This window comes from Homo sapiens, chromosome 20 (genome assembly GCF_000001405.40).
Source record: "Homo sapiens chromosome 20, GRCh38.p14 Primary Assembly".
Classification (NCBI taxonomy): domain Eukaryota; kingdom Metazoa; phylum Chordata; class Mammalia; order Primates; family Hominidae; genus Homo; species Homo sapiens.
In genome coordinates, this window is record NC_000020.11 from 37500902 (window position 1) to 37528641 (window position 27740).

A 27740-nucleotide genomic window follows, 5' to 3' on the forward strand; every position below is an offset into this window, starting at 1 on the left:
TGTGCCCAGGGACAAAGCACATTTGCTGTGTGTGTGTCTGTGAATGAAGCATAGTGATTAGTAAACTGATTAAAATTTGGAAAGCAAAATGAAAAAAGGGAAAGTTTTTCCACTCACAAAAGCAACAAAACTAATAAGGTTTTCAGGAATAAACCTATTAAGAACTGTGAAAAATCTTTATGACAAAAGCAACCAACCTTTATTAAAAGGCATTAAAAACAAAACAAAACAAAACAAATACAATTCTGATTAAAAAGAGACAGACACCATGTCCACAGATGGGAAGAACTTATATTCTAAAGATGTTAATTTCCCCTTCAATGCAATTCTTCTCAAACTTCCAACAGACATTTTGTTCACAGAACTTTGACAAGCTGATTATAAAATGTACCTGAAAAAGTAAATGTGCAATATGACCAAGACAATTTTAAAAAAGAATAAGGGGCTGCGCACGGTGGCTCATGCCTATAATCCCAGCACCTTGGGAGGCCGAGATGGGTGGATCACTTGAGGTCAGGAGTTTGAGACTAGCCTGGCCAACATGGTGAAACCCTATCTGCACCAAAAAATACAAAAATTAGCCGGGCATGGTGGCGCGTGCCTGTAGTCCCAGCTACTCAGGAGGCTGAGGCAGGAGAATCACTTGAACCTGGGAGGCGGAGGTTGCAGTGAGCGGAGACTGCACCACTGAACCCCAGCCTGGGCGGCAGAGCAAGACTCCGTCTCAAAAAGAAAAAAAAGGAATAAAGGCCTTGGGGGAAGGGTGGAGTGCTTATCTTATCAAGCCATAAGACACTTTATTAAGCTTTGCTCATTAATATGTACTATTGGCTCAGAAATAGACAAATAGATCAACAGAACCGGAGTCTAGACAGGGAATTGAGAGAAAAGATGGTGTTGGAACAATAAATGGTGCTTAGCAAACTGGATATCTGCAAAAAGAGCAAATTAGAGCTCTGTGTCACACCATACATGAAAACACATCTCAGATGGGTTAAAGATTTAAACATTTCAAACAACTATAGACGTTTTAGATGCAAACACACAATGTATATACACTGCGGTGGGGACCTGCTTTCATCAGCAGTGCGGCAGGACACTTAAGCATCCAGTAGGGTTCCAGGCCGACCTCACCTCCCACCTTTGGAAAGGGCCTGCCGAGCATCTCCATCTGGACCTCACAGACTCCTCTTCCTCCTTCTCTCCAGCTCCACCTGGTCCTGGGAAGAGGGACTGCCACACCGGATGGACTGAGGTCTGAAGCCAGCTCCTGCCACTTGTGCTCTGTGTCAATAAGGCATCTCCCTCTCTGGCTTCCAGTTCCTCCTCTATGAGTAGGTAATGGGGTTACGCTCCATTTCTTGTGGGGAAATGTGAAGCTCGTATGAGATGATCAATGTGAGCATGGATAAATGGCATGGAGCTTACAAGGATGAGGGGAGCAGATACCTCTACTTTGTCTTGATCCACTCCCCATAACCCCTGCTACGCAAGACTTAACATCCAATTCTTCTTCCTTGCATTGTAACTTCTGGATAATTGTCGTAGAATCTTTTTGGTCAAAAGAAGTTTGAGTGTTGACTTCTGACATTTGATTCCAAGGCAGAAAATACTGATTCGGCACCCAAGGAGCTTACTACCTGTTGCTAGGTGCTGAGAAACACACAAAATAATAAGACATAATCCCAGCCAAAAGACAGGATAAAACTGGTGCTAATTAGAACTATAGTCGGTACACAGGTCAGATAAAAGCTCCCAAAAGAACATGGAGATCAAGTTACTCTCTAAAAGGTACATAATTTAATTTTGCCCCATTCAGTCAAATACACATTATTGCCCCAAACTAATTTATCCACCTCCATAGTTGATCCCAGCCCCTTTGGGAGCTCATCTCACTAATTGTCTCCATCCCTAATCGCTCAATTACTCAGGCTCCTTATCCTCAGAATGTTCATCTGCCAGCATTTCTCTCTCTTTTAAGATTAAAAGTCCTGGATCTTGCTGCTTCTTTCCTTAATCGACTCCCACCCAAACTGCTCTGGCAGAGATTCTCAGAGGTCCCCCAATGGCCCCTTGGGGTGCTCATCAGCAGGGCCACCATGCTACCCAATTCCAGAGGCACCATGGAGGTTGTGCAGGTGCACACTGGAGTAGTTCAGGGATTGCCCTGGTCCTCCTGACCTCTCTGCACACACCCACTGCTGACCACCCTGTCTTTCTGCTGAGACACCTCCCGGCTCTTTCTTTTCAGTGCTCTCAGAGGATTCTTCTTCTCTTTTCTAATCTCCAAATGTTGGTGCTCCTTGGGCTTGATTTTTTTGTCCTCAGCCATCCCCTCGCCTAAAAATGCCCCAGAAGCCTGTCAACATCTGGATCCATATTTCCATTTGGGAGCCCCCTGGAGCCCTGGACTGGTCTCCATAATTTCTCACCTTGTGCTCTGGAGCTGTGCCTTCAGCTGTTTCTTCTCCATCTGCATTGGGATGTCTCAGCTTTTACCACTGGACTTGGGGTCTACCTTACAGACCTGGCCCCTTTCCAGGGCTCCCCAGCTCTGAAAATGGCATTGCCATCTCACCAGTAAGGCAAACCAGAAGCTCAGGGGTCATCCTGAACGCTGCCCTCTTCCAGCCCCTCTTCATTCCATCCAGCACCAAGACTAACCAGAATATGCAGATCATGTCCAAATCCTGTCCACTACAACAAAGCTTCCGAACTAGCCTCCCTGTCTACCCATGCTGCTCTAATGATTTCTCCACAGAACAGCCAGAGTCCCAGGCAGATTACAGCAACATACCAGGGCAGGTCACATCCCCTGCTTCCCTCGCTCTCAGGATGTTGGCAGGAGCTCAGCCCTGGTCTCCAATGCTCTGTATAGCCAGAACTGCTTGTCTCTCTGGTCTCACCTCTCCTTCCTCTCTAGTCAGGCCCTTTGCTCAGAATGCTTTCCAATTTGCTTTGTGGTCAACTTTGTTCTCTTCTTTCTATCTTGGTTTGGAGGATCACCTCCTCAGGGAAGCCTCCCAGAGTCAGATGAGGGCAGGTCCCCTGGTGGCACACCCTTCAGTACTCAGTACCATTCCTTCAGAGTGCCTATCAGTGTTGGAAATTGTACATTTACATATGTGATTATCTGACTATGTCTTTCTCCCCTACCACCATGAGAACAGGGATTCTGACTATTTTAATTCATTCACCCAAGTATCCACAGTGCTAGGCACACTGCTGGGCTGGGCACACAATTAGGTGCTAAAAGAGAATTATGTGGAATGTATCAACTTTCGTATTAAACAATGGATGCTTAACACTTTGGGAGCTGAGCCTATACACCTGCTCATCTTTCCTAGCCTCAGCCTCCCAGCCCCTACCCTTCACATCTCCAAATCTCCCTTCTGGACTCCTTAGAGGACTCCTAGTGACAGATCCATGTCCTCTCACATCTCACCATTATTCCAGCCTAGGCCATCACTCCCTCAACATGCTCTTATTAAGGCCATCAAAACTTACTAATTATGAAATCCAAAGGAAAAATTCTCTATCTTATTGGAATTCTCTGCTGCATTTGACAGTGTTGATTACTTTCTCCTTGAAACTCTTCCCTAACTTGGTTGTCATGGCAACCCCCTCTCCTGGTTGTTTGTCGCATCTCTCAGGCCCTTCCTTTTATTTCTCCTTTTTTGCCTGCCCACACCTGGCTCCTCAAATGTCACTATGACTCATGATTCTGACCTGAGCCCTCTCCCATTTTTTCTCTACACACTCTCCCTGGTAATCTCACTTATGCTTAGGGTCCCCATTACTCTGAGTGGTGACAGCCCTGGGCTAGTGCTTCCAGCTAAATCTCTTCCTGAGCCCTGGACACCAGGATCTAAGTGTCTGCTGGGCCCCACTTGGCTGTGTCTGAGTCCACTATCCTGTCCCTCAAACTGGCTCTCCATGCTGTGTTCCCCACCCCAGGGGCCTCCCCACCATCCACCCAGGACTCCACTCAAGATACACGGGACTGGGCATGGTGGCTCATGCCTGTAATTGCAGCACTTTGGGAGGTCAAAGTGGGAAGATTGCTTGAGCCCTGGAGATGGAGATCAGCCTGGGCAACATGGTGAGACCCTGTCTCTATGAACGAACAAACAAACAAACAAAACCAAGACACATGGGAATTACCTTTGGCTTGACCTTCTCTCTCACTCTCACAGATAAGTACTCACTAATTATTTCTGGTTTTTATCTACCACAAGTTCTGATCTCTCTCCATCCCCACTGGTCTACTTCAGGCCTTCCCCTCTCTTACCTGGAAGTCTCCTGCCTCTGAACTGGCTACTTCTTCTAATGGATATCTGGGAGTTTTGGCTTTTTAGCATGCCTTATTCCTCCCTGAAGCCCCTTATTACTTTTAGGGAAATTTTCTATCTTATGTGGCTGTGGTGGGACCTGGGCCGTTCTCTCACATGGAAGCTATGGAGGCCCCTCCTCCAGGTCCTGCCTCTTACCACCCAGGTCCTATCGGGGATGGCACAAGGCCCAAGCTCAGCCAGCTAAACCAAGCCTCTCTCTGGACTTTGACTTCTGTCCAAATAGCGAAGAAATAGAATTCTTTGATGTCTAGGCAATACCAACAAATAGAACTGCTACTGAGACCCTGAATGTCCCATTCAAGCCTGTGACCTGGACCTTACCTATTTCATTGCTCCCTGGATATTGTCACAAAGTCTTTTTGATACAAAGAAAAATTTCTGAATCTCTATTTCAGACACTGGATTTCAAGCAGAAAATAATTATTCTGCCCCTACCTAGCTGGCTGCCTGTTGCTAGGTGCTGAAAGGTACAAGAAAATGAGAAAGACATGGCCCTAGCCACGAGGCAGACAAACCCGTGCTAATTAGAGCTGGAGTCAGTACCCAGAGGGCAGAGAAAAGGCCTCCCAAAGAACATGGAGATCAGGTTACTTGCTAAAATGTACATAATTTACTTTTGTCCCTTTTCACCAACACTGCTAATCCCTTCACCTCTACACTTAATCCCAGAGCTCCAGGGCCCCTCTCACTGCCCCGCCCTGCCCTTCCAACTGGGCTTGTACTGCTTCCTCCCTCCCATGTCTCCTGGAAGAATTAGCTCCTTCCTGGACCCACTGCCTGCTCCAACTCCCCCTCCCTCCTTTCTCAGCCAGACCCAGTTCATTCCCCCCACACCAAGAGGAGCTTCTGCCCCGTGCCCCAAAGTTGCTGTGACAAAAGTCCCCAAAGGCCAGGTCTAGGAGATGCCTGAGCCTCCACTGACCTCTGTGCATGTGGCCCACCAGTGGCCACTCTGTCCTTTTGGAAACTGTCCTCTGGCTTCTAGGAACCCCATGTTTTTGGTCTTCTCCTCTGGCCCCTCCTTCTCAGTCTCCTCAGCAGGACTCTCTTCCTGTACCCATTCCTAAAATGTCACGAACTCGTTTCTGGCCTTGTCCTTCTTTGAGTGCATCTCTGGTTCTTCATCTATCCCTGTTGAGATGCTCACCCTTCTTTGGTGAGCTCCCAACCGGTACAGGTACATACACTTTCCTACTTGATGCCAGCTATGCACATTTTCCTTCCTTGCCCACCCTCGCCCTTTGCTCCTGCCTCTGACTCAGACAGGTGGGAGGACTCTAGGTGATAGCCTTCTGGACTGCTTCTATCACATCTATCCTTAGGTCATCTCAGTCCAGAGCCAGCTCAGAAATTGTCCCCTGGCCCAAACTGTTACTCTAGCAGCTTTCCCTGAGAGGTGGCCATGCTGCCTGCTTTCCTTGCCCTTTCATTTTCCTCTGCCCCATCTCTCACAGGAAACTGTTCTTGATGAGGGTCTAGTGGCCCCTAATTACTACATCCAGTGGGCTCTCGGTCCCTGTCTAGCTGGCCTTTCTCTTTTGTCTGTTGGCTCTCTTTTGGAAGTGCTCCACATCCCCAGGTTTCCATGCCAACATAGGCTACAGGTGCTTTTTCTATGTCTCTCTGACTTCTTTTTCACCTTTGTGGGCTCCCCTCTCTCTGCCCACCCCTTAAATGGGGGCAAGGCTCTTTCTTGTTCCTGGACCCCTCTTTTCTCAGCTGACACGTTCTGCTAGAGCCAGCTCACCAAAGCCCATGGCTACAATGACCATAGTCTCAAACCAAATCTCTTGTTTAAATCTCCTGCTGGATCTAGACCCTCTATCTAGCTCCTTGCAGGCCACCTCCTCCTGGATGCCCACCTCTGACTCAACCTGTCCAAAATTGAGCTCAATAACTTTCTCTTAGCCCCCAAACCTGCTCTTTCTCCTAGGTGTTCTTCCATTCACCCAGTCACTCACGACAGAAAACAGGAAAGGTATCCTTTACTGTCTTTCTTTAACACCAGCAACCAACCAGTCAGCAGATTCTCCCAATTTCACCTCCTGGATCCGACCACTTCCTTCCATCCTCTTGGCCCCTACCCTTATCCCTCCTGGACCCCACCTGGACCAAGGCAATCATCTCCTCTCTGGCCCACACGCCTCCAAATTTCTCCAAGCAACCAGAGTAATCACCTCAAAAGAGAAATCCTACCATGGCACCTGCTTGCACAAAATGCTTCAGGGGCTCCCTGCTGCAATTGAAGACCCAAGTCTTAAATTAGACATAGTAACACTATGTGATCTGGTTCTGCTTTCTCCACCCCTAGCCTCTCATTTCATGCTTCAGCAATCCCCAGCTGTCTGAGTTCATCCATGATGGCTCTCACCTCTGCCTCTGCCTTCTACTTGAGTAACTCCTACCCATCCAGTCACCTCTTCTAGGAACCTCCTTGGATATTCCCATGAAATTTCACACCTGCACCACCAACCCCAGCTGCCCATGCTTCCATGTCCCAGGCACCTCTCTGGCCTTCTCCTTCCTATGTATCATTTTAGTGTCTGTCTGTGTGTTTTTCTTAACTCTTTGAACTCCCAAGGGCAAGGATCATATTTATCTTCAGGTGTGTGTGTGTGTGTGTGTGTGTGTGTGTGTGTGTGTGTGTACTTTTATAGATACAGGATCATGCTATGTTGCTTAGGCTGGTCTTGAACTTCTAAGCTCAAGCAATCCTCCTGCCTTGGCCTCCTAAACTGCTGAGATTACAAGCATTAGCCACTGTGCCTGGCCAATATTTAAAAACCTATCATCATGCCTGACGCAAAGTAGATACTCAATAAATGTTGAGTAAAGTTACAGGCCACTTACTCTCTCTGAAAACTTCTCTCTTCTTCCGACTTTCCAAGAAGTGTACACCAATTCACATTCCCCCCAGTAGTGTGAAACAGTGCCTATTCCACTATCCTCATGAACATTGGGTATTCTTAAATTTCTTCCCCTAATTTGTTAGGGAAAATTTGTATTTCCTTGTTGTTTTTATTGTTGATCTTTGGTTATTAGTGAAGTTGAATGTTTTTTCAAAAAGTTTTTCAGTCAATTCCATTTCTTTTCCTGTAAACTCAATTCAGGTGACTTACACACACTTACCTGTTTTGCTTTTACTATTAAAGTTTTGGGTGTGTTCTTTTATACATTAAGAATCTGCAACCACTCTGCTTTTTGGTTGTTTGTGATATTACTTGACTTTGAAAATATTTAGTTTTAATGTAGTCAAATTGGTTGGCCTTTGCCTTCTTGATGTCATTTTGCTGCTTTTTAGCTTAAATGGGCTCCCTCATTCAGTCACTTGTTAAATATTCCTTTTCCCTCTGGTTTTTAATGGGCTCATTTTTCCTTTTGACCTTTGAAAATAATTTTTGAATTTGGGTGTGTGCTCTGAGGTGAAGTTGGAATGGACTTTTTCTCTTTTTAGTGAATCAACAGTTCATGCCTCAATTTTGGGTAACCCTTTCCTTCTTGGCTCTGGCTCTGAGCTTAGCTATTCCCGGCTGATTACAGCATTTATGGTCCCAGCCTTCTCAGAGCACATACCACCTGAACAGGAACTGGAAGGCTACAGGAAGGTATGATTCCAGGCACAGTGACAGTGAAACACAGGGAGGTGTTTAAGGGATGGGAGCAGAAAGCCTTTCTGGAAGCCTGACAGAAGAGTGTGTGGAAAGATGGATCACCTACTTTGCCAATGTGAATGGCTAAATCTAGCTGGCATCCACCTGTCCTAGAGGCTTCCAATTCTGCAAGGAAACATTATTCGGGGTCACAAGAGACAAAATGCCCACCCCACTCCTCACCTACACCAACCTACCTGTATAGACTCTGCCAGCACATTTCACCATCAGCAGAAAAATCATCTCAGCCAGCTCCTGCCAAGTTCACCTTCTGGGGGCTGCAGCCATCATCACGATTCCTCCATGCTGCAAGATGAGTTCTTGACCCAGAACCTGGGGTCCCCATCCTCCTTGTTCAATTACTGCTCTAGGCACCAGGGTATCTGAGGGTAATGCTAGAGCTGGAAGGGAACTGTGGAATTATCTAATCCAACTACCTCATTTCACAGACGGGGAAACCAAGGCCCAGTGAGGGGAGGTGACCCACAGCCATCCAGCAAGTGAGTGGAAAGCATCCTTGCTGGGAAAACTCAGTGTGAGGACTTTGCCCGTCGAATCTTGACCACAAAAATATGTGGACCCTGGGTTCTAAAATAATTACATGGTAAACTTGTATATTGTTCAGGAAAGTGGCATGGTGCGTAAAGAAGACAGTGAAGTCAGAGGAGTACAGGCCTATTTTTGCCAGTTCTTTCTGGAAGAACTGAAGTTTGTTCTCTCCTCTAAAAAATAGGGATAATCAAGAATCCAAGATGATAGAAGCAAACTCACCCAACAGACTGAGGGTAAGTCTACATAGGGTCCTCAAACCTCAAGACCCTAAATGGGTAATACCATGAGTATGTGAGGCCCGCCCCCACCGAAAAAAAAAAAAGAAAGAAAAAAAAAACCCTTGTAAACTGTACAGAACTGTGCCCATAGGAGAGGTTGGTCATCCTAGTACTGGCCACCATGTAGGTGTCAATTCTCAATACTCCAGGCAGCCCAACTTAACTAGCCAAGGGTGGTTCCTGGCCTTCCTCTATCATCTTTTTTTTTTTTTTTTTTTTTTGAGACAGGGTCTCGCTCTGCCACTGAGGCTGGAGTGCAGCAGCATGATCTCGGCTCACTGCAGCTCCGCCTCCCGGGTTTAAGCGATTCGTATGCCTCAGTCACCCGAGTAGCTGGGGTTACAGGTGCATGCCACCATGCCCAGCTAATTTTTTGTATTTTTAGTAGAGATGGGGTTTTGCCATGTTGGCCAGGCTAGTCTCGAACTCCTGGCCTCAGGTGATCCACCCGCCTTGGCCTCCCAAAGTGCTGGGATTATAGGCGTGAGCCACGGCACCTGGACACTTCTTGTATCATCAATAGCTTAATGCTGGTATTTTTCCTCTTTGATCTAATTTCCCATTTCAGTTATTTCACCCCAGCAAATATTTATTGAGTACCTCCCAGTGATGGCTTGAGAACAGATGAGGTCACCTGCCGAGTGCTAAGCCTCCCAGGTTTGGGTGGGTGGGTCGTTGCATGCTTGCTATCCAAGGCTAAGCCCCTATCTGTCCATCTAGTGCCGTCCACTCCAGGCCACTTGGGACACAGGCCATCACTTATCCCTGTTCGCTGTTGGCCTTTCTCTTCTTGGTGTCATTTCCTTGCTTTTCAGCTTAGAGAGGTCCTCCACTCAGATACTTAAAGATTTTATTAAACATTTTATTCCTTTCCTCCTGGTTTTTAATGGGCTCATATCTATTTGGCTATTAAAAATAGCCTCTCTCTTCCCTGGCCTCTTCCCCCTCTGAAAAATGATGTGTCCCAGACTTCCAGTCCTATCTGAGCACCGGGAGCCTCCCTGGTGCCTTTGCCCCAGCTCCCTAACTGCAGGCAGCCCTCCACCTCCTTCTTCCCCTCATGACTACAGGGAAGACAAGGACAGTGGTGAAAGTGAGGCTCTGAAGGGCAACAGAATGGGACACAAATCCCAGCTCTGCCCCCCATCTTGGGAAAGTGCCTTCATCTTTTGAAGCTCTTCTGTATAGTGGGCAAAACCACGTCAACCCTAGGATGTTCTCTTAAGGTTTCAGGGAGATATTGTTGACAAAATGCTCATCAGGGCCTGATCCAGAAAAGCACAGGCCAAATATTAGCTACATAAAAAAAGACCAGTCCAAACGGGTCACTTCCACTCATCCACCTCTTTCCCTTCATAGTTGGAAGAGGTGACCTGTTCCTCTCATCTCCACTTCTTCCTCTTATTCTCTTCTCTTCCCATGGTGATGTGATGTCTGTCTCTATTGCTCTGCCAACCCCAAGATGGATGACAAGACCTCCTAACTGACCAACCCAACTGCCTCTTCTTGGTTGTCTTGCTGGTACTGCTCACCACTGGAGGCTTCATATTCCTTCTCAAAACCCCTCCCTCCACACCTTCTCCCTGGGCAATCTCCTGGAATCTCAAGTGAAAGGGGCCATCTCTTCCGGGAGGACAGGTGGGCTCCTCTGGCTGGGCACCTGCAGAAGCAGAGCAGGAACACCTAGGGGTAGGGAACCAGGCTGTGAAATGCTCTGCTCCATTAACAGAGAGAATGCCATCCTCTAGGCAATAGGGAAGGACGAAGTTAAGCCAAGAGCCACAGAACATGACCTAAGCTGGTAAAGATGGCCAATGGTGGCCATTTGGTTGATGGGTTGAAAGAGACAAGATTGAAAGCAGAGAGACATCTGGTGCAACTGTTCAGCAAGAGATGATCTGAATTAAAAGAAGGAGATGGATATAGGAAAGATCAAGGGACCGGAGAGACAGGACTAGAGGTGCAGTGGTGTCATCACGACCAGGGATCGGGAGGCCCAATCCAATCTTGCTGGTTTTGGACATCACTCATACTGCACACCCAGACTGTTAGGAGGGCACAGCTGCCAGGGCTATTAGTCACAGTAGCTGTGGTGTGTGCTATGTGCCTGTGGTCCCCAGTTCCTGTCAGTACAAAATGGAACCATATGGCGTTCATAAAAATGGCTCTGAGGGTGGAAAGAAGAACTGGATCCTATTTGGCCAGTAAGTAAAAACAAACAAAACCAAAAGCCAACCACCAAAAAGCAGCCCCCCAAATGGCCCACCCCATCTGTGAATAGTAGTCTAACCCCCACAGTATTGTAGCTGGAGTCTGGGGGTTGGACTGAGGACAGTTTTTCCCTGGAATGGTCTGAGGGAATAGGATGAAAGGACTTAAATCCCGGTGATGGGCTCATATGGGTGTGTGTGGCAGTGGGGCCCGGCTGCAGGGAGTTCTCAGACTGTCTAAAGAGGACACTCATGATCTAGGAGGGGAAGAGGAGATGGAAATGGGAAAATGAGCAAGGCAGAGGACCATCTAAGATGTGATCAGAGTTCAGGAATCAAGGGCCAGCCTGGCCTAGCTGTGAACTCTTGGGCAAGTCAAGAAACCTCTCAGCAGAGCTTCGGTCAACTCTCTGTGAAACAGTAGTTCACGATCTGCACTCCTGCAAGCTCACCTGCCTGCCAGCCTATGGGGAGGAATTCATAAAAGCGGGAAAGCTGGGGAAGTCCCATATGCAGGGTTAGGGGGTGGGAAAGGTAGAGGGAGGGAAGAAGAGGGAATCCCCTTGGCTTACAAGTGACCCAGGAGTCCACCTACATCCAGACCTTACAGGGTGTCTACCACCTGGTGGGGCTACTCCTAAACCACATGTGAGCTGCTGCCACAGCGAGGATGCCAGGCTGGGCAGTCTTTTATAAGGTTCTTCTCGCATATCTTTGTTCACAATACTAGTCTGGAGGCTGGAAAATAATCTCTGTCACTTCAGAGTTGCCAAGAGATTTGGGAGGCAAACAGAGTTCCTTTCCTTCTAGGAAAGACTGGGCCACCCAATTACTTAGGGACTCTTAGCAATTGATTGAACCACCTATTCATCTAGCCACCAGGTCAGCCAACCAGCAGGTACTATGCCAGGCCTGGTCAGGTAAATTCTGTGCTTGGTCAAGGAACAAAGACTAAGCCCCTTATCTTCAAGGGTTGTGCAGGGCCTTGATGACCAAGCCAAGGGATTGGGCCCATAAACAATATGGAATTACTGAAGGGCTTTGTCTGTCTTTCCTGCCTCATAGACACTTCCATGTCTTCTTTGGCTCTAAGCTAAGATCCTTGACAGTTCTGCACCCAAGAGACTTCAAGTTTATTTTTTAATGCAAAAGATCCTTTGATTAAACACTTGATTGTCTTAATATACTTTCTTTCAACCACTGTCTCTAAGACTAAAATAACAAGGAGATAAATGTCACTGATGTTTCACAGAAGACAGCTTTGGAAATGTTAAAGATATCTTGGTCCAGCCCCCTCCTTGACTTATAAATGGGGAAACAGAGGCCTAGAGAACAGTAAGGAGAGCAAAGCCACATGGAAAATGGATGGGAATCAGTCCCAGGGCCTTAGCACCTGCCTGCCTGCCCCCTCCTTGGAGGGTCACCACTACCAGTGTGGGGCAGGAGGCTGGCAGAGGGTTTGGCTTTGGAAAAGGTGTTGAGCTGTCCAAGTACAGGCTCCACACAAGCTGCTCAGGAAAAGTACTGAGAGGCCAGAACCACCCAGAAGATTAGTCTTTGAAGAAGACTCATATCTGACCCTTTGGGATATTTGACAAAGCACTCTCAAACATATGCTTCCTCTGGTTCCTCGTTGGGAGGAGGCTGGACAGACAGGGGTTACTCTCCAAGAGAGGGAAATCCATGGAGGGTTGCTGGGTAAAATGGTGGCTAAGTAGGGGCTCAAACTGAGGACTTTGGTCTCCCAGAAAGAAAGCTACACCTTGGTGTTTTCCTTTTCAGGATACTGCCTTTGCAGAGAAGGTAAAAAATAATTAATGGACTTCACACAGAGGTACTGAGATATGGTCTCCCAAATAATCTCTACCTAACTCCACTAAAGCCCTAATAACATGGTATTATCTACCCACAAGAATGACTCTGCCCTCCCTCCTGCTGATCTGAGCTCCTCAAGGAGGGCACAGTCATTCTGCACCAGCTTCTCAGAGCTTGGAAAAGAGCCTGGCAAATGCTCCTCAAATGAATGAATGAGAGGGAGAGCTGGGGGATCAGATCACATCCCTAACAGGCTGGAGCTTAGTAAAGGCCAGTGGCAGGGAGCCATAAAACAGAGGAAATAACATTTACGGAGACTGTGCCTTGGGGCCGATGCTGTAGTGGTGGTGTGTTCTCTATGAGACAGGTGAGGTATAGTCACAAAGGCAGGGCGTAAGCGCTGGGACTCTCTCAAGCCTTGCATCAAGGTTCTTCAGTCCTTAAAGTCTATCTCTGCCCAGCCTCTGAGTCCCTTTTCCAGGATCCCAAAGGGAGACCCAAGGCTTCTGTCTGAAGCCTTCAGTTGCTGCTTAGGCAGGTTCTCTTCTTCACCTCAAGCCTGCCTAACAATAGAAGTTTTTCTCAACATACTTCATTCTCCCCTTGAAGCCTGGCAGATCAAACTGTGTTCTTCCTGGGACTTTCAGGAAGATACTGGGGAGGGAGGGTTGCTGGGCTGAGACAGGCCAAGCTCCCTAGGCAGGACCATCTTCCATCAGGGAGAGCACTTCTTCAGTCATTCCTCTTTTCAGAACAGTGGCCCTTTCACACATTTTGGTGCGTTGGGGAGTGAACTTTGCATTGGATGGTAGAAGACAGGGTTCTGGCTCTGCCCACCAAATGGACACAGGTGACAGCCCTTCTCTGGCCTCCTTTCCTGCAGCTATTCAATAGGAGTTGGCTTTCCTTCTATCATCTTTCACTGCTTCCTTCTCCCCAGCCTACCTTTTCTCCTGTGTCCCTGCCTCACCCACACTCACTCCTTATGTCTACTTCTCCCCATTCCCAGTCATCTAGAGAAGCCAGTAGCCTTCTCCATGGCCCTGCTACTGTCACCACTCAAATGCTGTCCTGTTTCTTGCCGACAGAATCCCATCTCAAAGGCTGTTCTGACTGGGTTACTCCCCAACTCCCATCAGATCCTCGTTTGTGATGGTTCCCAGTTGGATGGAAATGAAGAGTTCTTAGGGCTGAGTTTAGGGGCCTGCCAATAGCATTTCAGCTTTAGATTTCCTTAGTATCTCCCAACAATTTGCTAGCTTTAGATAGACTGACCTCTTTATCCCAAAAAGCCTTTTTGGGTTCTGATTCTAGGGCAGCCAGATAGTGGTGGTCCTTCATTTTACTTTCATCCCAGTCTCTTTATCTGTAAGCAGAGATGCTTGATTAGATGGTAAAATAATAATAACATCTCATTCATTACTTCACTGCTCAAACCTTTATATTTGTTCTTCAGGTCTCCACCTGAAAGTCAATCCTTCCAGGCCTACATTGGGTCCCCTCTTAGACCTTCTCTTCTAGCAGCTGACACAGTCCACGGTTGTGTATCGCTGGCATTATCTGCTCAATGTTGTGCCCTTTCCCATTAGCCTGGAGGGCTCCCTAATGGCAGGAACTGTCCACCCTGTAGTCTCAAGGCCTATTCCTGCATGGGATTCTGCCAAATACCAGCCAAATGACTGACAATGCAGGCCCCCTTGGGAGACAAGAGGAGCCCATGAACTCAGTCGCTACAGAAGGGGAAGTCTGCGTAACACTAGCAGTAGCACTCAACAGAAGGCTGAGTGAAACGCTCCAGTCAAGTAGATCCCCAGGGAGAAGAAATCCAGGGAAGCTTCCTGACAGAGGAAATACCTGGGCTCACATGGTACACTGACTAAAGCATAAAGCCCATGCCATCCTGAAAGTGCACTGCCACCTACTCAGAGCCCAGCTAACATCCTCAAATGGGTCCAGGAAGACCCTAGATCTTGGGAGAAAGAACTCCCAGGATATTAGGACTAGAAAAACTGTCTGCTCCAAAGACCACATTTTACCTCTCTGGAAACTGGGGCCCACAGCAGGGTAAGAACCAGTTCCTAAAGAAGCCCAGACCTAGGCCTTATGGTGTCTTGTGGTCACTAGGTACCATGTGGGCAACCGTTTCACACTGAGCCACAGTGACCAATGTAATTGTGTGTTTTTCTAAGGCCTGCTGCCCCTACTCTTTTCCAGAAAAGGTATCTACTTTTCATTTTCCTAAAAGGCAGTTCAGGAAGAGGGGGTGGTTGCCTGGCAAGGTAGGAAGCACTGTGGGGTGACAGAATGCTGATTTGGCAGTCACTTTGGGAAGGGGTGGGCTGCAGGCTCCCTGCTGGAAAGGGCCACAAATCTTTCAGAGGGAGGCCTGTTTGTGACTCTTAAGCGGGCTTGACCTAAAACAGAAAGCTGCTTTCCGAGGGAGAGCAAAATAAGCAATAATCTTGGCTTCATTTATCATCCAGGTGTCGCCACAGGAGAGTAGGGACACAAAAGCCTTTTTTTTGTTTGTTTTGTTTTTGGAATTTGCAATTGTCTATTTTGTTAAGTCTTCCCACTAGGCTACAATCATGAGCTCCTGAAGAGTCAGGTCTGAGTCTTGCCCCTGAAATCCCCAGCAAGCCTAGTACAGGGTCTCAATGTTTGTTGAACAAACCATCCTTTCCAGGTATGACTCCTCAGCTTGTCAAGACTTTGCAGAACCACGAAATCTATCCAGAAACACAGAAAAGAAGAATTCAGAGATAAAAGCATAAAAGAATCAGGTAAGAAAATTACCCAGCAGATATGATCGATAAAAGTTTGGTTCTTTGAAAATACCTCTAAAATAGACAAATCTTTGGCAAGTTTTGAATGAAAAAAGGAATAAAGTGACAATGGGGAGACTTAAGTGAACAGGAGAAAACCATACTCAATTTTATAGCAACAAATTTAAAGCCTAGGTAGAACAGGTGATCTTCTATGAAATTACCAAAGCCCTTCACGACTGTGACTCAATAAAACCTCACGACAGCCCTGTGCCTTGGACAGGCAGTATTCCTACCATGCTTTCTAGAAGAAGGAGATTCAGAGGTGAATACTCAGCACAGGACCTGACAAACTAGCCTACACTGTCTCAAAGGTCATGGCCATGGGAGCACGTGCATACCTACAACATGGAACCACACCACTCTCGGCACTTCCAGCCATCACCTTACATCCGGCTGGTTGGACAGCCAGTCTTATTTATTTTTCCACTTGAAATGCCATAAGGGGTTTCACTATTTTTACTTCAAAAGCAGCACCATAAAAATCCTTGATGATTAGAGCTCCAGCTGTCTTAAGTTGTTTGTCAAGGGATCGGTTACTCAAATCTCCTATGGAGGGAAACAATTTCAGGCAAGAAGCCATGGGAGCTGAGAAACGCAAATGTCTCATCTCTGAAAACTTTCAGACTCCCTCCTGTTCACCGCCTGTCCTGCCCCCTGCTCCCCCTCCCCCATCCCCACCATCTGCTCTCCAGAAAGCAGATCAAATTTTCAGGCTAAGGTACTCTGGCGCCAAAGACTCAGCCCCTCCATGCTTCCCCCTGCCCCCCACCAACTCCGAAATCCAACACCACGACCCAAATGGACTGCAGCCACATAAAACCACAAAGTAAAGTTTATAAAGCTTTATTAAACATTTCAAACAGCTGTGCAACGAACACACCAAATAAAAGCTCTAGAATAGCAGTCCAGACGTTTCACAAGTATGGCCTCACAGTCCCATTCCCTAGATGGACTGCCTCCAGTTCTGTTCTCTGCCTGGCCCATCTCTCTTTCCCCTCAGGCAAGAGAGAGATGGATGGATCAGACTGAAAGGACAGGCATGCTGATCTCCAGCAGGCAGGGGCCAGGAGAAAGTCTCGTTTGCCAACACTTGTTACTGAAGCGCAGAAAAAGCAGCAAGTGACAGTCACAAAGTCTTCCTGGGTATTCTTCATAATGTACAGTCTATATGCGCAGGAACGAAGAAGCTCCTGGCGGGAGGATGATGGCCACTGCTCCCCTCTGTCTTGTCTGAACCACCTCGGAGTCCAGTGTGCTGGTCACTCTGCAATCCCCATGCTAAATAAAAACTGTAGCGGCACCTACCATATATAGCTAGCTATTGCTAAACCTCAAAATCAGACCACGTTCGATAAAGCTTCTTTAAAAGGAATATACACATGTATTTGTACACACACACACACAGGGCACACCAAAAAATATCCAAACATCTATCAAGGGGATCAAGGCCGTTACGAAACACACAGGTACTCTCCCACTCACTCAGCTGGGGACTGCTAGAACTACGTGAACACACCATACTTCAATGCTGCAGAGCATGCACGGGAGACACAATGAGGCCCCCTCCTTGGGACAGTTGAGAAAGGCAGGAGGAAGGGCAAAGGAAGTGAGGCTGGGCGGGAAAGCTTGAGCCCAGACACCCAGGTGAAAGAGCAACATCTATCTGTTGCTTCCTTTCTTAAAAATGAAGTGGAGAAAATACTGAAGATTTGTGGACAACTAACAGTCAAGACATGTTTCTGTCTAGCCTGCTGAACAAGGAAAGAAGGATGAAAAAGCGAGGCTCTCGGGCGTCAGCAATCTCTTCAAATTCGAGATAAGTGCAAAAATGAGCCCTGTCTTGGACAGGTACTCCCCAAAAAAGGAAAAGGGTAGAAGAGAAATAAAGGGAAACCAGAAGAGGGACTGAGGAGTCAGTAACATTCTGGGAAGGAAGGAGACCCTGACAAGGAGGGGTCACAGAGGTGACAATGAGACTGGCATTTTATCTGCCCCAGGTCACATTGGGGCAGCTGACCAGGATGGACCCAGACTCCTCACAGTAATGAGGCGAGAGGGGTGGTCATGCGGCCAGCCAGGACCTAGATGGGGACAGAACACACACAACCACAAGACCACCCACGACTATAGGACTTTACAATAAAAGCACCGGTCAGTGCCATTATTCACATTGTAAGGATAAAACATCACAGGCCAAAAAGGCGCCGTCAGGAATGTGACACCCGCGAGGCTGCGGGATTTGAAACTCCAATGCTTTATGACCTATGTCAATGCCTCCCCTCCCGTCTTCTGCTTCCTTGGAAAGCTAACAGGGCAGGCCGTTAGGTGCCCACAACGCCGGGATCATGCGCCGATTCTGGAAGCGGGGAATCGGAGCAGTGGTACAGGAAACAGTTTCCCCAGCAGCTATAGCAGATAAGGAACAGGGCTGCCAGGAAAACCAAGGCACAAATTGTGCAAGGCTTCCGTTCCAGGAGGAAGCTGAGCAGGTAGAAGCCCATGAACATGGAGTGGCTGAACCACAGGGCGGGGTTGAGGGGCTTGGGGATGAGGAGGACGGGCAGCAGCCACTGGAGGCAATACATGATCTCTGCCGGGCAGGGCCTTCACCAAGGCTGCCGGGCACCGCTGCAGGAACCGACCTAATGGGAGCCAGCGGGCGCAGGCGGCTGCCCTCCGCTTTCTTCAACCCTCACTCTCCAGGAGCTGAGCCGCTGTGCTCTCTGGCTGTCAGCCCGGGATCACCAAGGCAGCAGGGATCCTGAAGAGAAAAGTCAACACAACAGACAAACAGACAAAGAACAGACAGACAGACAAAAAAAAAAAAAAAAAAAGAAAAAAAAAAAAAAAACAGGAACAGAATGTATACTTATTTGGGAAAATGGATCATGGTTAACAACAGCAAATGTGAAATGCCCTTTCCTCCCTGCCCACCCGTGAAAGTTCTACTCCTCTCCAAGTCACTAATTCGGGAAGCTTCCTGGGATGTCTCCCCGGGGCTTCTCCTGGGGGATCGGGGAGAGGGCTCTTTGGCACGGTTTCACACAGTGGGCTGGCTTTGCCTGGGCCCTGCCCAGCAGAGATCATGTATCGCCTCCTGGGGCTGCAGCCCGTCCTCAAGGGGCCCAGACCTCACAATACCGCCCAGTGGTTGCCAAAGGACGACCAAGGGCTCCCTGCTGTGCCCCCACGTGGTAAGGACAGGGTTCTGTATCTAGCATCTCTCACAGCCATAGGTGCTCAGGCACTAAGTGCAGAGTTAAAGCTGTTAGCGGGGCACTGCCGGCCACCAGACCACAGGCAAAGGATCCTGAGGCAGCTACAGCCTCGAAATATTTTAAGATGGCAGCCTAGGCTAAGCTTGCCTTTTTCAAACAGCCCAGCGTCACTTTGCCAGAATCTGCCAACTTCTCCGAAAGTCAATGTAGAAAAAAAGTCACTATGCTACTTTGTCCAAACTGAACTCGTTTGGATCATTACACCTCCATCTGCTGCTGGCACTGTATAGAACCTGACCTCTGGGAGCTTTTAATGAAAATTAATTTTCTATCCACATAGGGGCAAATGCCAGTTGGTCCCTGGGCCAGGCAGCTTGCTGGAAAGAGGTGCTTTCGGCTGGCTACCGGTGCGCGGGGACCACACTCACAAACCGCATTCCGGTCTTCCCGCCCGAAAATCCGCGCTGTGCGAGGGACCCACAAGACTGGCGGTCTAAAAGGGACCCGCCTCACTTGGAAACGGGGCTGCGGTAGCCACAACCCTCCGGTAGCGGTAGCGTAACCCCGTTCGGTGATCCAGCCGCACAGCGCAACGGGTACAAAGAACCCCACTGGCTAAGGCCGACCTACCAGGGCTTGGGGGAGGGGAGCGGAAGACTGAGGTCGAAACGACCTGTCCAGCAGAAAACTATCCCCAAGCATATTCCAACCACTTCTCCGTAGAGCTCATTCCTTCCGTGCATACGAAGGGCGCCAATCCTTCCTGTATCCCTCCTACAGATACCGGGTGACTACTGCTTTTGCGCCCAAAGCGCAGTGCTCTGGCTCAGCTCCCTACAGTAGCGACCTCCACCGCAGATTCTCATCTCCTCGCTACCGTAAGAGAGATGTAAAGAATCAGACGGGTTACGCGCTCAGGCACCCTCATGAAGCAGAGGACCTGGGCTTAAAACTCATTCAGTATCAGGAAAAGAGCGCCGAGCACGGGCCTATTATGCCAAAGCTTCTGAAAGGGGCACCACGTTTTTTGCTCTATGGGGCAGATGACCCCTCCCTAATTTCGGTTTTCCATCCATCCCCAAGGTAGGCTTTGGAGTGGCACCGGAGACTGAGCTCAAATTTGCAGGCCAGGGACTGGGGAGAAGGGCGCCACACTAAGAGACCTGCACCCCCATTCTCGCCCTGTACTCTACCCAGAGTCGTGGTACCCCTCCATTTTAAAGCAAAATCCAAAAGCAAGCACGGCGGAATCTTCTGGAAGGGGGCTAAGATGGAACTCAGGAGGCGGGGGTCGGTATGGAAAGAGCAGATGGATTATTTTTTTCCTCTCCTGGCGAATGAGGAGCGCCCCCAGCCACCCCTCCTCATAAACACCCCCCAAGGCGCGCATGCGCACTTAGGTGGCGGGCGGGTACTTAAGGCGCGGCCACCGCGGCTGCGGCAGTGCGCCCAACAGCGGACTCCGAGACCAGCGGATCTCGGCAAACCCTCTTTCTCGACCACCCACCTACCATTCTTGGAACCATGGCGGCAGTGGCGGCGGCCTCGGCTGAACTGCTCATCATCGGCTGGTACATCTTCCGCGTGCTGCTGCAGGTAAGTCTGACGGGGTTTCGGGTGGGAGAGGGTTCCCAACTCGCGCCCCTAGAACCCGCAAGACTGCGTCGCGATTGCCGCTTCCCGGACCCGTCCTATTCCGATTGCCGCGATCCTTGCCTGCCCAAGTGCCGCTGCCGGCACCGCGCGCCCCCTGCCCATTCCCTGCGCCGTCCTCCTCGCGCTGACCCTCCCTAGTGCGCCCGCGCCTGCCAGGGAACAAAGACTCGGGGCGCGGCGGGCGACCGCTGCGGACGATCACCCAGGCATTTAGCGACCTACGCGGTAAGAAAAACCCGCTACACCCGGACTCGACCCCAGGAGGGAGGCGGGGCACTACTGTGTTGAAAGACTTTACAGCTCGCAGAGTGAAAATTTTCCACCTTAAAAAATTGCGCATTGCGGAGAAATTTTATTTAAAAAAACATATAGCGCTTGCGGGGGTGGAACAAAAAATAAGTTAGAAAAAGGCACTTCTCAGAAAAAATAAAAATTACTTCGCAAAAAAAAAAAACCCTACAACGAATTAGAGAAAAAGTAGTTCACAGGAAAACAGAAAAACGCGCATTGCAGGAAAAATAAATCGGAGAAAAGCACTTGGCAGAAAAAAATGCATTAGATTAAAAACGCACTGCAGAAAAAAATTAGACAAGGGAGCTAACGGAAAAAAATGGATCGGGCAAAAACGCTTTAAAGAAAAAAATTAGAGGAAAAAGCCCCTCGAGAGAAAAATAGAAGGGGAAAAAAAGCACTTCCAAAAAAGGACAATTGCTTTACAAAAAAAAAAATAATAATAAAAAAAATAAAAAAGAGGCAAAAGCGCTTGGTGTAAAAAGAGATAAATCAGAAGAAAGCGCTTTGCCCATAAAATCATTTACCCTAAAAGCTCCCTTTGCAGGAAGAATTCCCTGCTAAAGGAATCCTTTGCCAAAGGAATCGCATATTTCCTTCAAGGTGTTCCTGGAATGCTGCATTTACTGGGTAGGATTCGCTTTTCGAAATCCTCCAGGGACACAGCCCATTGCGAGAAGTGAGGTATACCTAAGTTGTGGGTCCAATCAGCTTGCCGCCATGCAGCTCTCAGCACAGTTGGAAAAGCTCCAGCTGCCCTGACTCGTGGACAAGCTGCGCCCGCGCCCGCCTCTCCAGCCTACGCTGGATGGGCGGGCGGGGCAGGGGGTGGGGCGGGGGTGGGCACGGCAGCACCACAGACATGCTGTGGGTGCTCTCCACTAAGGGTGGGTCCTGGGTTTCTCGTCGCAGGTGTTCAGGTACTCCCTGCAGAAGCTGGCATACACGGTGTCGCGGACCGGGCGGCAGGTGTTGGGGGAGCGCAGGCAGCGAGCCCCCAACTGAGGCCCCAGCTCCCAGCCCTGGGCGGCCGTATCATCAGGTGCTCCTGTGCATCTCGGCCAGCACGGGAGCCAGTGCCGCGCAGGAATGTGGGGTCCCCTGTGTTCCCTCGCCAGAGGAGCACTTGGCAAGGTCAGTGAGGGGCCAGTAGACCCCCGGAGAAGCAGTACCGACAATGACGAAGATACCAGATCCCTTCCCAACCCCTTTGCACCGGTCCCACTAAGGGGCAGGGTCGAGAGAGGAGGGGGGATAGGGGGAGCAGACCCCTGAGATCTGGGCATAGGCACCGCATTCTGATCTGGACAAAGTCGGGACAGCACCATCCCAGCCCCGAAGCCAGGGCCATGCCAGCAGGCCCCACCATGGAAATCAAAACACCGCACCAGCCAGCAGAATGGACATTCTGACATCGCCAGCCGACGCCCTGAATCTTGGTGCAGCACCAACCGCGTGCCTGTGTGGCGGGACTGGAGGGCACAGTTGAGGAAGGAGGGTGGTTAAGAAATACAGTGGGGCCCTCTCGCTGTCCCTTGCCCAGGGCACTTGCATTCCAGCCTCGCTGCATTTGCTCTCTCGATTCCCCTTTCCTCCTCACTGCCTCCCAAGCCCACCCTACTCCAAAATAATGTGTCACTTGATTTGGAACTATTCAAGCAGTAAAAGTAAATGAATCCCACCTTTACTAAAACACTTTCTCTGAACCCCCCTTGCCCCTCACTGATCTTGCTTTTCCCTGGTCTCATGCAGTTGTGGTCAATATTGTGGTAATCGCTAATTGTACTGATTGTTTAAGTGTGCATTAGTTGTGTCTCCCCAGCTAGATTGTAAGCTCCTGGAGGACAGGGACCACCTCTACAAAAAATAAAAAAAGTACCTCCCCTGTCTCGCACAGTGTCCCAGGACCCTGCGGTGCAGTAGAGGCGCACCAAAACTTTGTCTCTTGTGATTTCTTTAGCGGCATCAACATACACTTCTAAGACTCAGCTGATGTGCCCACTGTGGAACAGGCACACTGCTTGGGGGAGGGAGGAAAAGGAGGGCCATCAAAATTGCAATAAGCTGGGCCCCTCACACACCCAACCCCATCTCAATGCTGTCCTGTGATAAAGGACCATCTCCCCCTCTCCCCAAAGAGAAAGGCTGACATCTTCACTTGTGGTCCTGGAATAAGGGACCACTTCCCCCTCCCCAAAGGGATAGGTGCTTTACTTGTGGTCTTAGGATAAGGGGCCAAAGCAAGTATCACTTTGGGAAAGATGAGAGGAGGGGAAAAAGGTGGGAGTAGCCCTCCAAAGAGGTACTAGGGACCAAGGGGGTGATTTCAGAACACAAAGCCTTACTTCAGGTCTCCATCCAGGAGCCCCAAAGAAATGAGTAGTGGGCAGGGTGGACAGTGGCTTAGACAATGAGTATGGGATAAGAGGTGCAGCGTGGCGCCTTCTTCACCCAGCTTAATGCTGCAGGCCCCACATCCACCAGGACCACTACAAAGACAATCTGCCTGGCCTTGCTACTCTGCAGGGTCTCCTGGCCCCACCTCACCCCAGAAACCTCTCTCCCCAATACTGGGTTTCTGCTTTTCCCAGCACCAGCCTCCGTATTCTTAGGAATGCTTACCAGGTCCGTGGCCCTGGGCTCTCCCCTGCCATCACGTCAGGGTGGGCAGTGCTCGGCCTCGGACTTGTCTTCCTCTCCCACTCCCCAGTGAGTCAGGGCTCTTTCTACACGGGGTCAGCTGACTGTCTCACCAAATGGCCCTGCCGCCTGTTCAGCCTTGTCTCTGGCTTTATGTGTCCCTGTCACTACACACCTGTTGCTGGGTCAACACCAAGGGAGGGAGTTGGAGGGCCATAAATCTCTCTTCCTGCCACTTCTTCGAATCCCTTAGTCACAGCTGTCACAAATACTTCTGAAGCACAAAGTACCTTGCCCCCTTAAGCCTGATCATGTTTCCCTCCCCTAAGCAAGCCCTTAAGTTTCTTAGCCCAATCACCAGCACCTCTAAAGGCATCTAAAACTTCATTCGGTATCAGAGAATTATAGGGGTGGGGAGGTGCAGATCCCGGTTCTGGTCTTGACTTTGCCATCAATCAGCCTAGGGAACCTGGACATGTCACCTTGTACCCTTCATCTCCAGTTTCCCTCTCGAAGAGGGCCTTTGAGATGCCAGTGAACCCTAACACGCTAGAAACTGCCATAGCAGTGGCAATCAGGACTCATCAGGACTTGAAGAGGATGTGCAATCTGAGACTTCATCTTTCTTAGGCTGGGTGGCTATAGCTGCTACCATAGCCTGAAGGTGAGGCAGGTCTCCTCTCGCCCCAGTGTGACTCATCAGCAGGCAATGCCCACACCTCCTCCCTTCTGAACCCCATATCTTGGCAGGCCTCAAAACTGGGAGTTTCTGTGGTTTTCCACACTAAACCCACAGAATCATGAACATACCAACATGTGTTCTCCATGAAGGCTGACCCTCCCTTCGGAGCTTTTGAGGGGTATGCCCATAGCCCCACTGCCCTTCTTGATGCTCTAACCTCAGCCCAAGTGACAAGGTAGCAGATTTCAGGGAGGTAGGCCAAAGCAGCATGGTAAGAGCTGGCTGCTCTGGACACAGCACCTCTTGTGCCCCCACTTAGAGGACAAGAGGCTCCTGGTAGCCCCAGAGCTTTCCATATCATCTTGGCAAAGCCCTTTTCCTCCATCCGTCCATCAGCAGGGCTGTGAGTGTGGCAAGGTGAGATGACAGATTTCCAGGCAAGGGCTGCCCTGGTGGCCTGCACCTGCACGTGTGGGCTTCAATGTGCAATGTCCACTCCCCATTTGCATCCTCCACCCACAAAACTTCATGTTCTGGCAGCAAACTTAACCCACCAGAGAAGACAGTGCATTCACTTTCCATCCAGTGCAATGCCATGCAATGCCTAGATGGTCCAAACACACCTTGTTTATAAAATTTTTTCCACAAACTATACCATTAAACATTTTATTCTGATAGAGAGCAATGCGAAGAATTGAAAATGACTAGTGTTTTACTGCACAGCCCTTAGTCACAGTGCTGAACGTCCCCTTTGCCTAAACCATCATTGCTCCCAGAAGACTTTGCCCCCACAAGGCCAAGGACAGAGCAGATCGGTTGGGAAGGAATTGGGAATAGCTCTGTGGGACTCCAGCAACAGGTGAGAGACCCTTGAGACTAATACTCCAGGATGTTAGTTTCTTAGCCTAACGAACTGAAGTTAAGTCCAGAGGTGTTTAGGTACCATGACTTTTAGGGGTGCAGGGTGCTATGTGACACTGTTACCTTTATCTGTGGAATATTTGAATTGTCACTGAAGGAAGGGATGTCTGCTGTCAGGGAAGGGCAGGGGCAAGTTCCTTGAGCTTGGGCAACGGATTACTGTTGGATCGGGGAGCAGGTTTGCTGTGAGCCATTTACTAGATATCTATTTTGAAATGTGTATCTCCTCAGGAGCCAACACCCCAAAGGGAGATTCTGAATTTGCAGTTAACTTCCCCCCCCCACCGCCCCCACCCCCCCTCAGAGATTTAAACGTGTGCACTCATGCACATACACAAAACACTAGTCAAACAACAATCTCTTTTCCCCCCGGTAACCTCTGACTTCCTCTATATGCCCCAGAGACACGTTGTCACCATCTTCCCTGGGAGTGATCCTGTTTATCCTCCCCTCCCCGACTTGCCCTCCCACAGGGCCCATGCATGCCCCAGCAGGATCCAGATTCCTGAGCATTTCCAGAGCAGGAAGTCAGAGAGGCAGGCAACGCGTGGTTCTTGGTATATCGCACAGGGACAGGCTTGAAATGGAATGCATGTGTTTCAAAGATAGGAGAACAACAACAAAAAAAGACAGTCTAACCCAGATTCCTCTTTGAAACAACATATTACAGATTAAAGGTTAAACTGTTTTTGGCAGCAACTCTAACAAGACTAATTTCAGATATGGAATTGACCTGGTCACTGGAAACCGACCAGGCTTCCCGTGATCAAATCTTTTAACAGATTTGCTTGACATTAATTAGTCTCTGATTTAAAACAAACAAGCAAACAAGATCTAACACTTGGCATTAGCACTTAAGCTGGAACTTTTTTTTGGTCCCAGCTTTGGTGTTGCCGTCCAGAAGGCTGACGGGATGACTGGACCATGTCAGGCAGGGCAGAGAAGCCGTCCCCAACACACCAGTTCCCTGAAAGGGATAGACGATCCAAACCTATAAACAGAAAGGCTGTTTCTTTCCGAGGACAGACCCCAGTCTCCCAACATTCGGCGATGAAATGGGACACGGAGGCCTGGAAGGAAACTAAAGGAGATTTGGAAAGGGGAAGGAAAAAACAACTGTCCCCCATCCCCCATGCTTCCTTTCCAGGCCATTAGTGCGCCAGGCATTCCGTTCCTTCAGCTGCCCTTGAGGGCCACTCCCCACGTCTATAGAAGGAAAGGGAAGGGATGTCCACCCTTGATGTAAAGTTGGAGGGAGTAAGAAGCGCCCGCGACTCTTAGCAGAGCGTCAGCCTATCACCCCAGACACCGAAGCGGAGCCTCAGGAGACCCTCTCTCCCCTCACCCCCACGTCCCCCCACCTCCCCCCCAAAAAAGCAACTAAAGCAACGCAACTAAACTGATGGGGACAGAATGACAGGCCTCTCACAAGCTGGGCACCCTGCCGTGGAACCCGGGGCTGCAGAGATGGTGGTCGCGCTCCCAGCCCCGTGCCCCCGGCTCTGCCTGTCTCATCCTGCAAGGGCGCTGACCTTGGACAAGGCCAGAGCCAGCACCCAGGAGTACTATGACCCACCTCCGGGCTGGGAAGGGACCCCCCAAGGCCCAGGCTAGGTCCAATCACGGCAATCACCTGAAGCCGGACAGGGGCGCCCTGCCTTCCCGGGGTATGCGGAAGGAAAACCCCAGTGACGGGGACCCGGCGACGCCTAAGGTGACCCAGAAGGGACAATATGGCGGCGCGGCCGCATGGAGGGCCTCTCATCCCGCCCCAAGCAGGTTGACGCCACGGTACCTGCAAGCCCTGCCATGGCGCCGCCGCCACTGTCGCCGTCTGCCGCAGCCTGCCTCCACCTCAGCTCGCCACCGACGCCGCAGGAAGCCGGGGAGACGCCCCCTTAGTCTTCTAGTCGAGCCGGCCGAGGACCCATCCTGGGATCGGGCTGTCTACCGCAAACGCCTGATCACAAGGTCCGAAGTGGGGGCTCATCCTCGCCCCATTTCCCGTAAATATCAGCCACAGACCACCTTTGAGGACTTTGTATGCACTTTTACAAAACTCTGGGAGCCCCGAGATCTTCAAGCCCGAATAATTTTTATCAGGCGCAGTGTGGACAGCCCCGAAGCGCGGCCGGGTCCCCTCATGCATATGCAGCAGATTGTGATCCTTACTCCGTGAGCGCTGGGCGGGCCGGGTTGTGTTCATGTTGGTGAACCCGCTTCGTTCTTGCCCGCGTGGATGGTCCGTGGACTCCGGGAAAACCTTCTCGTGGCTCAAAGTCCACCCCCTCCCTAGCGTTTCATCATGCAGCCAAGGCTCAGGAGCTGAAAGGTCCGGGCTCAGAACTTGGGACTGCCTTGGGTCAGGCCTCGGCTCCCCCACTTGCCCCGTACCTTGGGCCAGCGAGCCCCTCGCCCACCCCGACCCGGCTTCTGTTGAAATGCCCACCTTAGGGCTTTTATGAGGCTTGAATGAGTCCGTGTAGTCATTTATTAGCTAATTAAGCATATTCCTTGGGCGCTTACTGTACCCAAGCGCAGTGCTAAGGGCAGGTAGAGTCGGTAACCTGGGTCTGTCCCTGACCTCAAGGCACTGCCAGTCTAATGGCGGGTAGGCGGGGAGACAGTCATATAATCACTGTAT

The 27740-nt window shown here is 49.7% G+C and overlaps 2 protein-coding genes across 10 annotated transcripts, besides 7 other annotated features; one reads left to right on the forward strand and one right to left on the reverse strand.

Annotated features, from left to right (window-relative positions):
* Window positions 6669–6758: an enhancer, noted in NCBI's record as "active region_17845". NCBI's record gives its function as "activates an Ori minimal core promoter by ATAC-STARR-seq in GM12878 lymphoblastoid cells {active_cell/tissue: GM12878}" and the evidence as "EXISTENCE:reporter gene assay evidence [ECO:0000049][PMID:35858748]".
* BLCAP (BLCAP apoptosis inducing factor) lies at window positions 16516–26975 on the reverse strand. 7 transcript variants are annotated; one of them, NM_001167820.2, is made up of 3 exons: window positions 26892–26975; window positions 20418–20550; window positions 16516–18449 (listed from the first exon to the last, which is right to left on the reverse strand). In NM_001167820.2, the coding sequence occupies exon 3, from the start codon at window positions 18271–18273 to the stop codon at window positions 18010–18012; it is 264 nt and encodes an 87-aa protein (NP_001161292.1). In that variant the 5' UTR covers window positions 18274–18449; window positions 20418–20550; window positions 26892–26975; the 3' UTR covers window positions 16516–18009. The 7 variants fall into 7 exon arrangements, with proteins under 7 accessions (NP_001161292.1, NP_006689.1, NP_001161293.1 ...); NM_006698.4 differs by lacking the exon at window positions 20418–20550; NM_001167821.2 differs by lacking the exons at window positions 20418–20550; window positions 26892–26975 and adding an exon at window positions 26730–26831.
* Window positions 17694–18557: an enhancer, noted in NCBI's record as "H3K4me1 hESC enhancer chr20:36146997-36147860 (GRCh37/hg19 assembly coordinates)". NCBI's record gives its function as "activates a minimal SCP1, AML or CMV promoter by ChIP-STARR-seq in naive H9 embryonic stem cells {active_cell/tissue: H9 hESC(naive)}" and the evidence as "EXISTENCE:reporter gene assay evidence [ECO:0000049][PMID:30033119]".
* Window positions 18558–19421: an enhancer, noted in NCBI's record as "H3K4me1 hESC enhancer chr20:36147861-36148724 (GRCh37/hg19 assembly coordinates)". NCBI's record gives its function as "activates a minimal SCP1, AML or CMV promoter by ChIP-STARR-seq in naive H9 embryonic stem cells {active_cell/tissue: H9 hESC(naive)}" and the evidence as "EXISTENCE:reporter gene assay evidence [ECO:0000049][PMID:30033119]".
* On the forward strand, window positions 20349–22789 carry NNAT (neuronatin). Of its 3 annotated transcripts, none has more exons than NM_005386.4 (3): window positions 20349–20502; window positions 21457–21537; window positions 21766–22789. In NM_005386.4, the coding sequence occupies exons 1-3, from the start codon at window positions 20431–20433 to the stop codon at window positions 21856–21858; spliced, it is 246 nt and encodes an 81-aa protein (NP_005377.1). In that variant the 5' UTR covers window positions 20349–20430; the 3' UTR covers window positions 21859–22789. The 3 variants fall into 3 exon arrangements, with proteins under 3 accessions (NP_005377.1, NP_001309731.1, NP_859017.1); NM_001322802.2 differs by having other exon boundaries at window positions 21457–21532; NM_181689.3 differs by lacking the exon at window positions 21457–21537.
* Window positions 25343–26061: an enhancer, noted in NCBI's record as "OCT4-NANOG-H3K27ac hESC enhancer chr20:36154646-36155364 (GRCh37/hg19 assembly coordinates)". NCBI's record gives its function as "activates a minimal SCP1, AML or CMV promoter by ChIP-STARR-seq in primed H9 embryonic stem cells {active_cell/tissue: H9 hESC(primed)}" and the evidence as "EXISTENCE:reporter gene assay evidence [ECO:0000049][PMID:30033119]".
* Window positions 26779–27496: an enhancer, noted in NCBI's record as "OCT4-H3K27ac hESC enhancer chr20:36156082-36156799 (GRCh37/hg19 assembly coordinates)". NCBI's record gives its function as "activates a minimal SCP1, AML or CMV promoter by ChIP-STARR-seq in naive H9 embryonic stem cells {active_cell/tissue: H9 hESC(naive)}" and the evidence as "EXISTENCE:reporter gene assay evidence [ECO:0000049][PMID:30033119]".
* Window positions 26818–26867: an enhancer, noted in NCBI's record as "active region_17846". NCBI's record gives its function as "activates an Ori minimal core promoter by ATAC-STARR-seq in GM12878 lymphoblastoid cells {active_cell/tissue: GM12878}" and the evidence as "EXISTENCE:reporter gene assay evidence [ECO:0000049][PMID:35858748]".
* Window positions 26958–27267: an enhancer, noted in NCBI's record as "active region_17847". NCBI's record gives its function as "activates an Ori minimal core promoter by ATAC-STARR-seq in GM12878 lymphoblastoid cells {active_cell/tissue: GM12878}" and the evidence as "EXISTENCE:reporter gene assay evidence [ECO:0000049][PMID:35858748]".